The sequence below is a fragment of the Homo sapiens genome, chromosome X (genome assembly GCF_000001405.40).
Source record: "Homo sapiens chromosome X, GRCh38.p14 Primary Assembly".
Lineage (NCBI taxonomy): Eukaryota > Metazoa > Chordata > Mammalia > Primates > Hominidae > Homo > Homo sapiens.
This window is the reverse complement of record NC_000023.11, coordinates 69,822,265-69,839,556: the sequence shown is the minus strand read 5'-3', so window position 1 is coordinate 69,839,556 and position 17,292 is coordinate 69,822,265. Positions and strand designations below refer to the sequence as shown.

At 40.1% G+C, this 17,292-nt stretch overlaps 1 protein-coding gene across 8 annotated transcripts in view, besides 1 other annotated feature; it reads right to left on the bottom strand.

Annotated features, from left to right (window-relative positions):
- The window catches only part of EDA (ectodysplasin A), a 423,360-nt gene that overhangs the window by 199,916 nt on the left and 206,152 nt on the right, over positions 1-17,292 (bottom strand). The gene's annotated exons all lie outside the window — the stretch shown is intronic.
- Positions 788-988: a silencer, noted in NCBI's record as "fragment chrX:69058411-69058611 (GRCh37/hg19 assembly coordinates)". NCBI's record gives its function as "represses an EF-1alpha promoter that drives an FKBP-Casp9 reporter gene in an ReSE screen in K562 erythroleukemia cells {active_cell/tissue: K562}" and the evidence as "EXISTENCE:reporter gene assay evidence [ECO:0000049][PMID:32094911]".

The window sequence follows — 17,292 nt, the reverse complement described above, 5'->3', positions numbered from 1 at the left end:
AGGAAATAACATATTACTCTTGTGACAAGGCAGAGGAGTAAGTGCATATTATGGTGTGACAATACTTTTAGACTGAGTAAAGCAAAGATTGTACCATCTTTCTCTCAATTAGTTAGCTAAGCCATGTGACAAAATGTTCATGTAGGATTTCAAAAGATTCCTGGATAAACTGAAGGGAAGAGGCTGGGGATATAGGGTAGGAAGTTCCAAGCCCAAGTTATAGATTTTGGAAAAGTTCAACTGTGGGTGTAGGTTAAAAAGATGAAGGAGATAAAGAAACTCATTTTTCTAAGAAGGGAGAATAGATGGTGAATAGAAGCAAAGGGAAATGAGCATGTCTGAAGAGTGGCCTGGTGAGTTGAAGCCATTTGGACCTAATCTCTATAAACAAAAGTAACTTTCTTCCTGTTTGTTACTATACTGTTGAAAACAGCTAAATGGAAATTCAACAATTCAACAAAATTGGGATGGTCTGACCTAAAATATAGGCTGGGATACATCTCATTTAAAATGCTGATTAGTTCGGTTCATAAATACACATTTTCTATATCTGCCTATATGGACAGGAGGGGTTTTCAAACATCTACATATTTGCATTTATTTCTTTGTGTGGATATCATCACAAAATTAGACTAACAAAATGCCATTTTGAAGATGAACAAATTTGGATTGGGAAAAACTTAAAACAAATGAGAGTTCTGATAATCTGAAAGTCAGTTTGAAAGGAATAATCACCTAAGGAACAAACATGAGAGATAGGCAGTCTTGAGGGCAAATAAAAGAGATATATTCCTTTGGATCAACCAAAGAAAGTGGTGGTTTATAAGGAATTGATTGTCCACTTTACCATAACGCTGTTGAAATGTGCTGTAGCAGGACCCAGACCTGCATGAATTCCAGATGTTTATTTGTTTTTTATTTATTTTTTTTGAGACGGAGTCTCGCTCTGTCACCCAGGCTGGAGTGCAGTGGCGCGATCTTGGCTCACTGCAAGCACCGCCTCCTGGGTTCATGCCATTGTCCTGCCTCAGCTTCCTGAGTAGCTGGGACTACAGGCGCCTGCCACCACGCCCGGCTAATTTTTTGTATATTTAGTAGAGATGGGGTTTCACCATGTTGGCCAGGATGGTCTTGATCTCTTGACCTCGTGATCCACCCGCCTCAGCCTCCCAAAGTGCTGGGATTACAGGCGTGAGCCACCACGCCCAGCCCAGATGTTTATTTCTTGAAATCCTACATGCACATTTTATCACATGGCATTAGCTAATGTAAAGATCATTTGTAGTTGATTGCAAAGGCAATATGCTCTTTCAAAGGCAACTAAGCCTAATGCCTAATCTGAGGAGTGTCTAACCACTCAAAGTGCAAGGCAGGATCCTCTACTACAGTAGATGAAACAGAGTTCCACTCAGAGGCTATGTGCTTACTGAAAGGGACAGCCTGTTCTTTACCATAAAGTAGACTCACGTTCAGCATGGGGAGATTGTGGCTGCCAAAAGTGACAGATCCTCTTTACAATGCTGAGACATCGTGGCAGAGAAAAGAAACAGTGATTTCAAAGAGGATCCCCAAAGGAATCCAACATCTTTATAATGTCTGAAATGTATCACCATTGTCAAGCTGTAAAATGGAAAGGTCACCCTAAAGATGGAATGGTAAGATCATATTGGGATCAGTTCTTGAGTCCCCAGGTCTCCCTGAGAACTTATTTGAAGAACAATATCTGGAATTCATGCAGCTCTGGGTCCTGCTACAGCACATTTCAACAGGGTATGGTAAAGAGGACAATCAATTCCTCATATGCCACCAATTCCTTTGGATGATCCTTTTGCTTTAAAAGATGTGCATTTCCTGGTGACGATCTCCATGACTATTCGCAAAGGAAGACACTTTTAACTGTAGGCATTGACTTTCAATTGAGCTACTTGTCACATAGACAACTCTCTATAGCATGTTACAGAGTGAGTAGAAACAGAGATTTATTCATATGTGTCTTGAAGAATATAAACATGATCTTAACAAAAAAATCATATGCAACAATTATAGAAAACTGTTACAACTTCATTTTTAAATTGTTTTTATGAGCCTTCATTTAACACTGGTTTATGAGTCTCTTAAGCAGTGACAGGTAATTCAGCTGGTCTTTAATACAATGAAAAGTCATCATCTCATGGAACAATTAAAAGAAAAGAATCCAAAATAAAAGCCAGAAGATAGGTGTCGTGGCAGTGGCACAGTGGTTGTGAGGCAGCACCATGGACTGACTGTAGAGATAAAGAAGGGAGAATTGCACTAAGCCACAACTCTGATTGTGGGTTTAACTGTGTAGTCACCTTTATACTTTTCTAGACTTTATTTTTGTAGTTTGCTACTGAAGTACACCAGACACATTATCAAACTTCCTGAAGATATGCCAGGTTTTACCCCGATGTGATTATTATGCATGGTATGCCTGTATCAAAATATCTCATGCACCCAATAAATATATATGGCTACCATATACCCACAAAAATGAAAAAGAAACAAAAAAATTTTTTAAAAATTAAAGAATTTAAAAAACAGAATAGCTTATTCAGCTAGATTTTGAAGAGCATTCTAAAACAGAATTTTCCAAACTGTGCTCTCCAAAACACTAGTGTCTCATAATACACTAAGAGTTAGCCTATCATAAAAGGATTTCTTGGGGGCATTCCAAGATGGCCAAATAGGAACAGCTCTGGTCTGCAGCTCCCAGAGTGAGCGAAGCAGAAGATGGGTGATTTCTGCATTTCCAGCTGAGGTACCTGGTTCAACTCATTGAGACTGGATGGACAGTGGGTGCAGCCCATGGAGGGTGAGCTGAAGCAGGGCATGGCATCGCCTCAACTGGGAAGTGCAAAGAGTTGGGGGATTTCCCTTTCCTAGCCACGGGAAGCTGTGACAGACTACCTGGAAAAACGGGACACTCCCGCCCAAATACTGTGCTTTTCTCAAGGTCTTAGCAACTGGCAGACAAGAAGATTCTCTCCAATGCCTGGCTCGGTGGGTCCCACACCCACAAAGCCTTGCTCACTGGTAGCGCAGCAGTCTGAGATCCAACTGTGAGGTGGCAGCCTGGCTGGGGGAGGGGCGTCTGCCATTGCTGAGGCTTGAGTAGGTAAACAAAGTGGTCTGGAAGCTTGAACTGGGCGGTGCCCACCACAGCTCAACCAGGCCTACTGCCTCTAGACTCTACCTCTGGGGGCAGGGCATAGCTAAACAAAAGGCAGCAGACAACTTCTGCAGACTTAAATGTCCCTGTCTGACAGCTCTGAAGAGAGCAGTGGTTCTCTCAGCACGACGTTTGAGCTCTGAGAATGGACAGACTGCCTCCTCAAGTGGGTCCCTGACCTCTGTATAGCCTAACTGGGAGACATCTCCCAGTAGGTGCTGATAGACACCTCATAGAGGTGGCTGCCCGTCTGGGATGAAGCTTCCAGAGGAATGATCAGGCAGCAATATTTGCTGTTCTGCAATATTTGCTGTTCTGCAGCCTCCACTGGTGATACCCAGGCACACAGGGTCTGGAGTGGACCTCCAGCAAACTCCAACAGACCTGCAGCTGAGGGACCTAACTGTTAGAAGGAAAACTACCAAACAGAAAGGAATAGCATCAACATCAACAAAAAGGTCATCTACACCAAAACCCCATCTGTAGGTCACCAACATCAAAGACCAAAGGTAGATAAAACCAAAAAGATGGGGAGAAACCAGAGCAGAAAAGCTGAAAATTCTAAAAATCAGAGTGCCTCTTCTCCTCCAAAGGCTCGCAGCTCCTCAACAGCAGCGGAACAAAGCTGGATGGAGAATGACTGACAAGTTGACAGAAGTAGGCTTCAGAAGGTGGGTAATAACAAATTTCTCCAAGCTAAAAGAGGATGTTTGAACCCATCCCAAGGAAGCAAAAAACCTTGAAAAAAGATTAGACAAACGGCTAACTAGAATAAACAGTGTAGAGAAGACCTTAAATGACCTGATGGAGCTGAAAACCATGCCACGAGAACTACGTGACACATGCACAAGCTTCAATAGCTGATTTGATCAAGTGGAAGAAAGGGTATCAGTGATTGAAGATCAAATTAATGAAATAAAGTGAGAAAACAAGGTTAGAGAAAAAAGAGTAAAAAGAAATGAACAAACACTCCAAGAAACATGGGACTATGGAAAAAGACCAAATCTACATTTGACTGGTGTACCTGAAAGTGATGGGAGAAGGGAACCAAGTTGGAAAACACTCTGCAGGATATTATCCAGGAGAACTTCCCCAACCTACCAAGGCAGGCCAACATTCAAATTCAGGAAATACAGAGAACAACAGAAAGATACTCCTCGAGAAGAGCAACCCCAAGGCACATAATTGTCAGATTCACCAAGGTTGAAATGAAGGAAAAAGTGTTAAGGGCAGCCAGAGAGAAAGGTCGAGTTACCCACAAAGGAAGTCCATCAGACTAACAGCTGATCTCTCGGCAGAAACCCTACAAATCAGAAGAGAGTGGGGTCCGATATTTAACATTCTTAAAGAAAAGAATTTTCAACCCAGAATTTCATATCCAGCCAAACTAAGCTTCATAAGTGAAGGAGAAATTAAATCCTTTACAGAGAAGTAAATGCTAAGAGATTTTGTCACCACCAGGCCTGCCTTACAAGAGCTCCTGAAGGAAACACTAAACATGGAAAGGAACAACTGGTACCAGCCACTGCAAAAACATGCCAAATTGTAAAGACCATCAATGCTAGGAAGAAACTGCATCAATTAATGAGGAAAATAACCAGCTAACATCATAATGACAGGATCAAATTCACACATAACAATATTAACCTTAAATGTACATGGGCTAAATGCCCCAGTTAAAAGACACAGACTGGCAAATTGGATAAAGAGTCAAGACCCATCCGTGGGCTATGTTCAGCAGACCCATCTCATGTGCAGAGACACACATAGGCTCAAAATAAAGGGATGGAGGAAGATCTACCAAGCAAATGGAAAGCAAAAAAAAAAAAAAAAAGCAGGGGTTGCAATCCCAGTCTCTAATAAAACAGACTTTAAACCAACAAAGATCAAAAGAGACAAAGAAGGCCATTACATAATGGTCAAGGGATCAATTCAACAAGAAGAGCTAACTATCCTAAATATATATGCACCCAATACAGGAGCATCCAGATTCATAAAGCAAGTACTGAGAGACCTAAAAAGAGACTTGGACTCCCACACATTAATAATGGGAGACTTTAACACCCCACTGTCAATATTAGACAGATCAACAAGACAGAAGGTTAACAAGGATATCCAGGACTTGAACTCAGCTCTGCAACAAGCGGACCTAATAGACATCTACAGAACTCTCCACCCCAAATCAACAGTGTCACTTATTCTAAAATTGACCACATATAACACATAGTTGGATGAGTTCATGTCCTTTGTAGGGACATGGATGAAGCTGGAAACCATCATTCTCAGCAAACTATCACAAGGACAGAAAACCAAACATCGTATGTTCTCACTCATAGGTGGGAATTGAATAATGAGAACACTTGGACACAGGGTGGGGAACATCACACACTGGTGCCTGTCGTGGGGTAGGGGGAGGGGGGTGGGATAGCATTAGGAGATATACCTAATGTAAATGACGAGTTAATGGGTGCAGCACACTAACATGGCACCTGTATACGTATGTAACAAACCTGCACGTTGTGCACATGTACCCTAGAACTTAAAGTATATATATATAAAGAAAGAAATGGATGAATTCCAGGACAGATAACCTTCCCAAGACTAAACCAGAAAGAAGTTGAATCTCTGAATAGACCAATAACAGGCTCTGAAATTGAGGCAATAATTAATAGCCTACCAACCAAAAACATTCCAGGACCAGACGGAATCACAGCCGAATTCTACCAGAGGTACAAAGAGGAGCTGGTACCATTCCTTCTGAAATGACTCCAATCAGTAGAAAAAGAGGGAATCCTCCCTAAATCATTTTATGAGGCCAACATCATCCTGATATCAAAGCCTGGCAGAGACACAGCAAAAAAAAAAAAGAGAATTTTAGACCAATATCCCTGATGAACATTGATGCAAAACTCCTCAATAATATAATGGCAAACCGAATCCAGCAGCACAGCAAAAAGCTTATCCACCACGATCAAGTCAGCTTCATCCCTGGGATGCAAGGCTGGTTCAACATACGCAAATCAATAAACGTAATCCACACAGAACCAACAACAACAAAAAAACCACATGATTATCTCAACAGATGCAGAAAAGGCCTTTGACAAAATTCAACAGCGCTTCATGCTAAAAACTCTCAATAAATTAGGTATTGATGGAACATATCTCAAAATAATTAGAGCTATTTATGACAAACCCACAGCCAGTATCATACTGAATGGGCAAAAACTGGAAGCATTCCCTTTGAAAACTGGCACAAGACAGGGATGCCCTCTCTCACCACTCCTATTCAACATAGTGTTGGAAGTTCTGGCCAGGGCAATCAGGCAGGAGAAATAAATAAAGGGTATTCAATTAGGAAATGAGGAAGTCAAATTGTCCCTGTTTGCAGATGACATGATTGTATATTTAGAAAACCCCATTGTCTCAGCCCAAAATCTCCTTAAGCTGATAAGCAACTTCAGCAAAGTCTCAGGATACAAAATCAATGTGCAAAAATCACAAGCATTCCTATACACCAATAACAGACAAACAGAGAGCCAAATCATGAATGAATTCCCATTCACAATTGCTTCCAAGAGAATAAAATACCTAGGAATCCAACTTACAAGGGATGTGAAGGACCTCTTCAAGGAGAACTACAAACCACTGCTCAAGGAAATAAAAGAGGACACAGACAAATGGAAGAATATTCCATGCTCACGGATAGGAAGAATCAATATTGTGAAAATGGCCATACTTCCCCAAGTAATTTATAGATTCAATGCCATCCCCATTGAGCTACCAATGACTTTCTTCACAGAATTGGAAAAAAAACTACTTTAAATTTCATATGGAACCAAAAAAGAGCCTGCATTGCCAAGACAATCCTAAGCAAAAAGAACAAAGCTGGAGGCATCATGCTACCTGACTTCAAACTATACTACAAGGCTACAGTAACCAAAACAGCATGGTACTGGTACCAAGACAGAGATATAGACCAATGGAACAGAACAGAGCCCTCAGAAATAATACCACACATCTACAACCATCTGATCTTTGACAATTTGACAAATACAAGAAATGGGGAAAGGATTCCCTATTTAATAAATGGTGCTGGGAAAACTGGCTAGCCATATGTAGAAAGCTGAAACTGGATCCCTTCCTTACACCTTATACAAAAATTAACTCGAGATTGATTAAAGACTTAAATGTTAGACCTAAAACCATAAAAATCCTAGAAGAAAACCTAGGCAATATCATTCAGGACACAGGCATTGGCAAGGACTCCATGACTGAAACACCAAAAGTAATGAAAACAAAAGCCAAAATTGACAACTGGGATCTAATTAAACTAAAGAGCTTCTGCACAGCAAAAGAAACTACCATCAGAGTGAACAGGTAACCTACAGAATGGGAGAAAATTTTTGCCGTCTACCCATCTGACAAAGGGCTAATATCCAGAATCTACAAAGAACTCAAACAAATTTACAAGAAAAAAAAAGCTGCATCAAAAAGTGGGCAAAGGATATGAACAGACACTTCTCAAAAGAGGACATCTATGCAGCCAACAGACACATGAAAAAATGCTCATCATCATGGTCATTAGAGAAATGCAAATCAAAACCACAATAAGATACCATCTCATGCAAGTTAGAATGGCAATCATTAAAAAGATGCTGGAGAGGATGTGGAGAAACAGGAACTTTTACACTGTTGGTGGGAATGCAAATTAGTTCAACCATTGTGGAAGACAGTGTGGCGATTCCTCAGGGATCTAGAACTAGAATTACCATTTGACTCAGCAATCCCATTACTGGGTGTATACCCAAAGGATTATAAATCATGCCAATATAAAGACACATGCACATGTATGTTTATTGTGGCACTATTCACAATAGCAAAGACTTGGAACCAACACAAATGTCCATCAATGATAGACTGGATTAAGAAAATGTGGCACATATACACCATCAAATACTATGCAGCCATAAAAAATGGATGAGTTCAAATCCTTTGCAGGGACATGGATGAAGCTGGAAACCATCATTCTCAGCAAACTATCACAAGGACAGAAATCCAAACACCGCATCTTCTCACTCATAGGTGGGGACTGAACGAGAAGATCACTTGGACACAGAGTGGGGAACATCACACCTGTTGTGGGGTAAGGGGCTGGGGGAGGTATAGCATTAGGAGTAGTACCTAACGTAAATGATGAGTTGATGGGTGCAGCAAACCAAGATGGCACAAGTATACTTATGTATCAAACTTGTACGTTGTGCACATGTACCCTAGAACTTAAAGTTTAATAATAATAATAAAAGGATTTCTCATCAAGTAAGTTTGGAAACAATGGGTAAAATAAAGGTAAACAACAGGTACTTTTACTGCCTTTAATATGTTAATATGTGTAATAAGGATATAAGGGAGAAACATAGTATGTGGTATACCCCAAACTTCTTTGGCTATGGAACCCTCTACTCTCCTCAAGCCAAACTAGTCATATCTTTTGTTACACTAGGGTTCTAAAGAATAAAGATTGAGAAAAACTGCTCTACAAACATACTTAAGCATTCAAGGTCTCAGAATATCTTATCACAGGCTGGCATTTCGGAAACATTCTATGTCACCAATATCCAGTTAGCTACTGAATCATTTCTGCAAGCTTATTTCATATCAAATGCTGTCCTACTCACAATTTCAAGCGTTTCCATGATCCCTAAAAGATACACTGTCAGTTATTATACTATTTACCTTTTGAGTGGTAACTTATGTTATTACACGAGTATTAGTTTTCCATAAATTTCTTTTTTTTGATTTTCAAAGGAAATCTCATGTGGCACCTATGCAAATACTATTTATGGAAGTTTAATATTTTGAGGATTATACAAATTTTTTTCCTAGTTTCTACCTATACTTGGAGCTTTAAAAGCCATAATAATAACATATACAACGTGTGGCTAACCAATTACCTCAGCAGTAGCCAGTATTCTGGCACTTAGAAAAAATAAAAAATTTTGCTGAGCACTGTTTTGTGTGTTTCAAAGGACTAAGAATCCACAGCTTAGATTAGCAGGTGTGGACATGAACAGCTTTTTGTCTTTGGGAAGAACAAGGAGTCATTCTGGCTTTAAAAAATTCAATTAAAATTTTCAGTAAATTTAAGAATTCATTTATTGATAGAAACCATTTTGTCAACATCAATTTATGGCACATCACACAAGAAAAATATTTTTAAGATAAATAGAAAAAATGCATGGGGAAGAAGCAAGATGAAAAGACAGGAAGAAAGAAGAAAGAATATAGGGATAAAAGGAGCCGGAAGACTAATGGAAATACTTGCCTGTTATTGTCAGTAAAAAAGCTGATCAAAAAGCCTGCCCAAAATACATTAGACAATACTGTCAAATATAGAAAATAAGGTAATGGCAAACTATAACACAGGGTCATTGCAAACTAAAATGTTTTGCTTAGAAAGATGTGCTTTTAGGGGATTTATGAAAAGAGAAATGTGGTTTGATGTTAATATAGCACCCACATATAATGAATGAAATTATTTCTAAAAAATCATTAAAGCTAGGTGGAGAAATAAAAGAAACATGACTAGTGAGCACTGAAGTAAGTTAAAGCCAAGGCAAGCAGGTGGTCATCTTCACTAGACCCTGGGAAGAAAGATGACATAAAGATCACTTTGATAATGGTTTCAGAAGCAGGTGCTACCATAATGTCTCAGGTGATTCCATTTCTGATCCTATCAGTTAAATAATTAAGTTACAGCAAACCACTGGATGAAGCCCATGTAACCAAGCACTCACATACATCTTTGCAAACAACCATCTGTGATGTTTATCATTTATCCTTAAATATAGCCACAAAATTTTAATTACAACAACATTTTTTTCCATGAATGCTCCAGTTTCTTGTCTTTACATTTTGGAAAACCTGTCATCATTGAAAGCAGTAACAGAAAAAGGACCACTTTTTGACATATTATAAAAATGGAAAGATTATCAACCTTGGACATCCAAATACCTGATATGAGGTGGTGGGGAAGTGCAAAATGTCTCTGAGCAAGGCTCTTCCAGTCCAAGAATGTCTTTACCATAAAAAAAACCCTAAATGTGGTGTGAGGGTCTTTATCCATTTAACAAATATTTACCATCTTTATGCGTGGACAGCACTGTGTTGGGAACTAGGGATTTACCTATGAACAAGATAGAAAAGGTTCATGACCTCATGGGGCTTACGTCTAAGTGAGGAAAGACGGAAAAAAGCAAACAAGAAAATTACAGAATATAATCATTTCCCTGAAGGAAATAAACAAGGTGATATGATAGAGAATAATGGGGGATGATGATGAAGGGGCATAAGTGGACTATTTTAAACAGAATGGTCAGGGAATCCCTTTCTGAAACGATGGCATTTGAGATGAGAAATGAATGATAAAAATGGCACTGCTATTAAAAGATCTAGGAGAAGAACATTTTAGGCAAAGAAAACAGAAAGAACTGAAGGGTACACTAGCTGTCACTTGACAAAATGGTGTAACAATCTAGAAAGGTAAGGAAGATGGTTTCATTGATGGGCTAATGAAAAACATGATATGACAGGAAACCTGACTACTATTCAATGTGTTTCCTATCTTTAATAGAATAACATGAGGGAGGAGCCAAGATGGCCGAATAGGAACAGCTCCGGTCTACAGCTCCCAGCGTGAGCGACGCAGAAGAAAGGTGATTTCTGCATTTCCATCTGAGGCACTGGTTTCATCTCACTAGGGAGTGCCAGACACTGGGCACAGGTCAGTGGGTGCAGTGCACCGTGCGCGAGCCGAAGCAAGGGGAGGCATTGCCTCACTTGGGAAGTGCAAGGGGTCAGGGAGTTCCCTTTCCTAGTCAAAGAAAGGGGTGACAAACGGCACCTGGAAAATCGGGTCACTCCCACCCGAATACTGCGCTTTTCCAATGGGCTTAAAAAAGGGTGCATCAGGAGATTATATCCCACACCTGACTCGGAGGGTCCTACGCCCACGGAGTCTCGCTGATTGCTAGCACAGCAGTCTGAGATCAAACTGCAAGGCGGCAGCGAGGCTGGGAGAGGGGCGCCCACCATTGCCCAGGCTTGCTTACATAAACAAAGCAGACTGGAAGCTCCAACTGGGTGGAGCCCACCACAGCTCAAGGAGGCCTGCCTGCCTCTGTAGGCTCCACCTCTGGGGGCAGGGCACAGACAAACAAAAAGACAGCAGTAACTTCTGCAGACTTAAATGTCCCTGTCTGACAGCTTTGAAGAGAGCAGTGGTTCTCCCAGCACGCAGCTGGAGATCTGAGAACGGGCAGACTGCCTCCTCAAGTGGCTCCCTGACCCCTGACCCCTGAGCAGCCTAACTGGGAGGCACCCCCCAGCAGGGGCAGACTGACACCTCACACGGCCAGGAACTCCAACAGACCTGCAGCTGAGGGTCCTGTCTGTTAGAAGGAAGACTAACAATCAGAAAGGACAGCCACACCAAAAACCCATCTGTACATCACCATCATCAAAGACCAAAAGTAGATAAAACCACAAAGATGGGGAAAAAACAGAGCAGAAAAACTGGAAACTCTAAAAAGCAGAGCGCCTCTCCTCCTCCAAAGGAACACAGTTCCTCACTAGCAATGGAACAAAGCTGGACGTTGAATGACTTTGACGAGCTGAGAGAAGAAGGCTTCAGACGATCAAATTACTCCAAGCTACGGGAGGAAATTCAAACCAAAGGCAAAGAGGTTGAAAACTTTGAAAAAAATTTAGAAGAATGTATAACTAGAATAATCAATACAGAGAAGTGCTTAAAGGAGTTGATGGAGCTGAAAACCAAGGCTCGAGAACTATGTGAAGAATGCAGAAGCCTCAGGAGCTGATGTGATCAACTGGAAGAAAGGGTATCAGTGATGGAAGATGAAATGAATGAAATGAAGCGAGAAGGGAAGTTTAGAGAAAAAAGAATAAAAAGAAACGAGCAAAGCCTGCAAGAAATATGGGACTATGTGAAAAGACCAAATCTATGTCTGATTGGTGTACCTGAAAGTGATGGGGAGAATGGAACCAAGTTGGAAAACAGTCTGCAAGATATTATCCAGGAGAACTTCCCCAATCTAGCAAGGCAGGCCAACATTCAGATTCAGGAAATACAGAGAATGCCACAAAGATACTCCTTGAGAAGAGCAACTGCAAGACACATAATTGTCAGATTCACCAAAGTTGAAATGAAAGAAAAAATGTTAAGGGCAGCCAGAGAGAAAGGTCGGGTTACCCTCAAAGGGAAGCCCATCAGACTAACAACGGATCTCTCGGCAGAAACTCTAAAAGCCAGAAGAGAGTGGGGGCCAATATTCAACATTCCTAAAGAAAAGAATTTTCAATGCAGAATTTCATATCCAGCCAAACTAAGCTTCATAAGTGAAGGAGAAATAAAATACTTTACAGAAAAGCAAATGCTGAGAGATTTTGTCACCACCAGGCCTGCCCTAAAAGAGCTACTGAAGGAAGTGCTAAACATGGAAAGGAACAACCGGTTCCAGCCACTGCAAAATCATGCCAAAATGTAAAGACCATCGAGACTAGGAAGAAACTGCATCAACTAACAAGCAAAATCACCAGCTAACATCATAATGACAGGATCAAATTCACACATAACAATATTAACTTTAAATGTAAATGGACTAAATGCTCCAATTAAAAGACACAGACTGGCAAATTGGATAAAGAGTCAAGACCCATCAGTGTGCTATATTCAGGAAACCCATCTCACGTGCAGAGACACACATAGGCTCAAAATAAAAGGATGGAGGAAGATCTACCAAGCAAATGGAAAACAAAAAAAGGCAGGGGTTGCAATCCTAGTCTCTGATAAAACAGACTTCAAACCAACAAAGATCAAAAGAGACAAAGAAGGCCATTACATAATGGTCAAGGGATCAATTCAACAAGAAGAGCTAACTATCCTAAATATATATGCACCCAATACAGGAGCACCCAGATTCATAAAGCAAGTCCTGAGTGACCTACAAAGAGACTTAGACTCCCACACATTAATAATGGGAGACTTTAATACCCCACTGTCAACATTAGACAGATCAACAAGACAGAAGGTTAACAAGGATATCCAGGACTTGAACTCAGCTCTGCAACAAGCAGACCTATTAGACATCTACAGAACTCTCCACCCCAAATCAACAGAATATACATTCTTCTCAGCACCACATCACACCTATTCCAAAATTGACCACATACTTGGAAGTAAAGCTCTCCTCAGCAAATGTAAAAGAACAGAAATTATAACAAACTATCTCTCAGACCACAGTGCAATCAAACTAGAACGCAGGATTAAGAATGTCACTCAAAACCACTCAACTACATGGAAACTGAACAACCTGCTCCTGAATGACTACTGGGTACATAACGAAATGAAGGCAGAAATAAAGATGTTCTTTGAAACCAACGAGAACAAAGACACAACATACCAGAATCTCTGGGATGCATTCATAGCAGTGTGTAGAGGGAAATTTATAGCACTAAATGCCCACAAGAGAAAGCAGGAAAGATTCAGAATTGACACCCTAACATCACAATTAAAGGAACTAGAAAAGCAAGAGCAAACACATTCAAAAGCTAGCAGAAGGCAAGAAATAACTAAAATCAGAGCAGAACTGAAGGAAATAGAGACACAAAAAACCCTTCAAAAAATTAATGAATCCAGGAGCTGGGTTTTTGAGAGGATCAACAAAATTGATAGACCACTAGCAAGACTAATAAAGAGAAAAAGAGAGAAGAATCAAATAGACGCAATAAAAAATGATAAAGGGGATATCACCACAGATCCCACAGAAATACAAACTACCATCAGAGAATACTACAAACACCTCTATGCAAATAAACTAGAAAATCTAGAAGAAATGGATAAATTCCTCGACACATACACTCTCCCAAGACTAAACCAGGAAGAAGTTGAATCTCTGAATAGACCAATAACAGGAGCTGAAATCGTGGCAATAATCAATAGCTTACCAACCAAAAAGAGTCCAGGACCAGATGGATTCACAGCCGAATTCTACCAGAGGTACAAGGAGGAACTGGTACCATTCCTTCTGAAACTATTCCAATCAATAGAAAAAGAGGGAATCCTCCCTAACTCATTTTATGAGGCCAGCATCATCCTGATACCAAAGCCGGGCAGAGACACAACCAAAAAAGAGAATTTTAGACCAATATCTTTGATGAACATTGATGCAAAAATCCTCAATAAAATACTGGCAAACCAAATCCAGCAGCACATCAAAAAGCTTATCCACCATGATCAAGTGGGCTTCATCCCTGGGATGCAAGGCTGGTTCAATATACGCAAATCAATAAATGTAATCCAGCATATAAACAGAACCAAAGACAAAAACCACATGATTATCTCAATAGATGCAGAAAAGGCCTTTGACAAAATTCAACAACCTTCATGCTAAAAACTCTCAATAAATTAGGTATTGATGGGACATATCTCAAAATAATAAGAGCTACCTATGACAAACCCACAGCCAATATCATACTGAATGGGCAAAAACTGGAAGCATTCCCTTTGAAAACTGGCACAAGACAGGGATGCCCTCTCTCACCACTCCTATTCAACATAGTGTTGGAAGTTCTGGCCAGGGCAATTAGGCAGGAGAAGGAAATAAAGGGTATTCAATTAGGAAAAGAAGAAGTCAAATTGTCCCTGTTTGCAGACGACATGATTGTATATCTAGAAAACCCCATTGTCTCAGCCCAAAATCTCCTTAAGCTGATAAGCAACTTCAGCAAAGTCTCAGGATACAAAATCAATGTACAAAAAGCACAAGCATTCTTATACACCAACAGCAGACAAACAGAGAGCCAAATCATGAGAGAACTCCCATTCACAATGGCTTCAAAGAGAATAAAATACCTAGGAATCCAACTTACAAGGGATGTGAAGGACCTCTTCAAGGAGAACTACAAACCACTGCTCAAGGAAATAAAAGAGGATACAAACAAATGGAAGAACATTCCATGCTCATGCGTAGGAAGAATCAATATCGTGAAAATGGCCATACTGCCCAAGGTAATTTACAGATTCAATGCAATCCCCATCAAGCTACCAATGACTTTCTTCACAGAATTGGAAAAAACTACTTTAAAGTTCATATGGAACCAAAAAAGAGCCTGCATTGCCAAGTCAATCCTGAGCCAAAAGAACAAAGCTGGAGGCATCACACTACCTGACTTCAAACTATACTACAAGGCTACAGTAACCAAAACAGCATGGTACTGGTACCAAAACAGAGATATAGATCAATGGAACAGAACAGAGCCCTCAGAAATAACGCCACATATCTACAACTATCTGATCTTTGACAAACCTGAGAAAAACAAGCAATGGGGAAAGGATTCCCTATTTAATAAATGGTGCTGGGAAAACTGGCTAGCCATATGTAGAAAGCTGAAACTGGATCCCTTCCTTACACCTTATACAAAAATCAATTCAAGATGGATTAAAGACTTAAATGTTAGACCTAAAACCATAAAAACCCTAGAAGAAAACCTAGACATTACCATTCAGGACACAGGCATGGGCAAGGACTTCATGTCTAAAACTCCAAAAGCAATGACAACAAAAGCCAAAATTGACAAATGGGATCTAATTAAACTAAAGAGCTTCTGTACAGCAAAAGAAACTACCATCAGAGTGAACAGGCAACCTACAGAATGGGAGAAAATTTTCGCAACCTACTCATCTGACAAAGGGCTAATATCCAGAATCTACAATGAACTCAAACAAATTTACAAGAAAAAAACAAACAACCCCATCAAAAAGTGGGCAAAGGATATGAACAGACACTTCTCAAAAGAAGACATTTATGCAGCCAAAAAACATATGAAAAAATGCTCACCATCACTGGCCATCAGAGAAATGCAAATCAAAACCACAATGACATACCATCTCACACCAGTTAGAATGGCAGTCATTAAAAAGTCAGGAAACAACAGGTGCTGGAGAGGATGTGGAAAAATAGGAACACTTTTACACTGTTGGTGGGACTGTAAACTAGTTCAACCATTGTGGAAGTCAGTGTGGCGATTCCTCAGGGATCTAGAACTAGAAATACCATTTGACCCAGCCATCCCATTACTGGGTATATACCCAAAGGACTATAAATCATGCTGCTATAAAGACACATGCACACGTATGTTTATTGCAGCATTATTCACAATAGCAAAGACTTGGATCCAACCCAAATGTCCAACAATGATAGACTGGATTAAGAAAATGTGGCACATATACACCATGGAATACTATGCAGCCATAAAAAATGATGAGTTCATGTCCTTTGTAGGGACTTGGATGAAATTGGAAATCATCATTCTCAGTAAACTATCACAAGAACAAAAAACAAAACACCGCATATTCTCACTCATAGGTGGGAATTGAACAATGAGAACACATGGACACAGGAAGGGGAACATCACACTCTGGGGCCAGTTGTGGGGTGGGGGAGGGGGGAGGGATAGCATTGGGAGATATACCTAATGCTGGATGACGAGTTAGTGGGTGCAGCGCACCAGCATGGCACATGTGTACACATGTAACTAACCTGCACATTGTGCACATGTACCCTAAAACTTAAAGTATAATAATAATAAATAAATTAAAAAAATAGAATAACATAACAACAGGATGTTAGAACTTATTTAGTCTAATCTTCCACACAATATATTCCATACAGACAATCATCATTCTACTGCTTAAGTATTTAAGGCATCTGCTAGAAAGTTTCTTCTTACATTGATCTGAAAGTGGCTTTTTGGCACTCACCCTCGTTGACTTGAGTTCTGCCCTTTCAAAGGGAAGTACTATATTGTCCCTCAATGCTCTTCTCTAGCACTGATGTCCTTTGACCACTGTTTGGGGCTTCCAGTTCATCTATAAGTTATGCTTCCTCCAGACACACTACAGTTAATCAGTAAGTCACTTTAAAATCACACTATCTCTGGACATACCTACAAACTTTTGAAGGTAAAAAGTTAGGGCCCCAATTTTCTTTAATTTTTTTAGAGACAGGGTCTCACTTTGTTGCCGA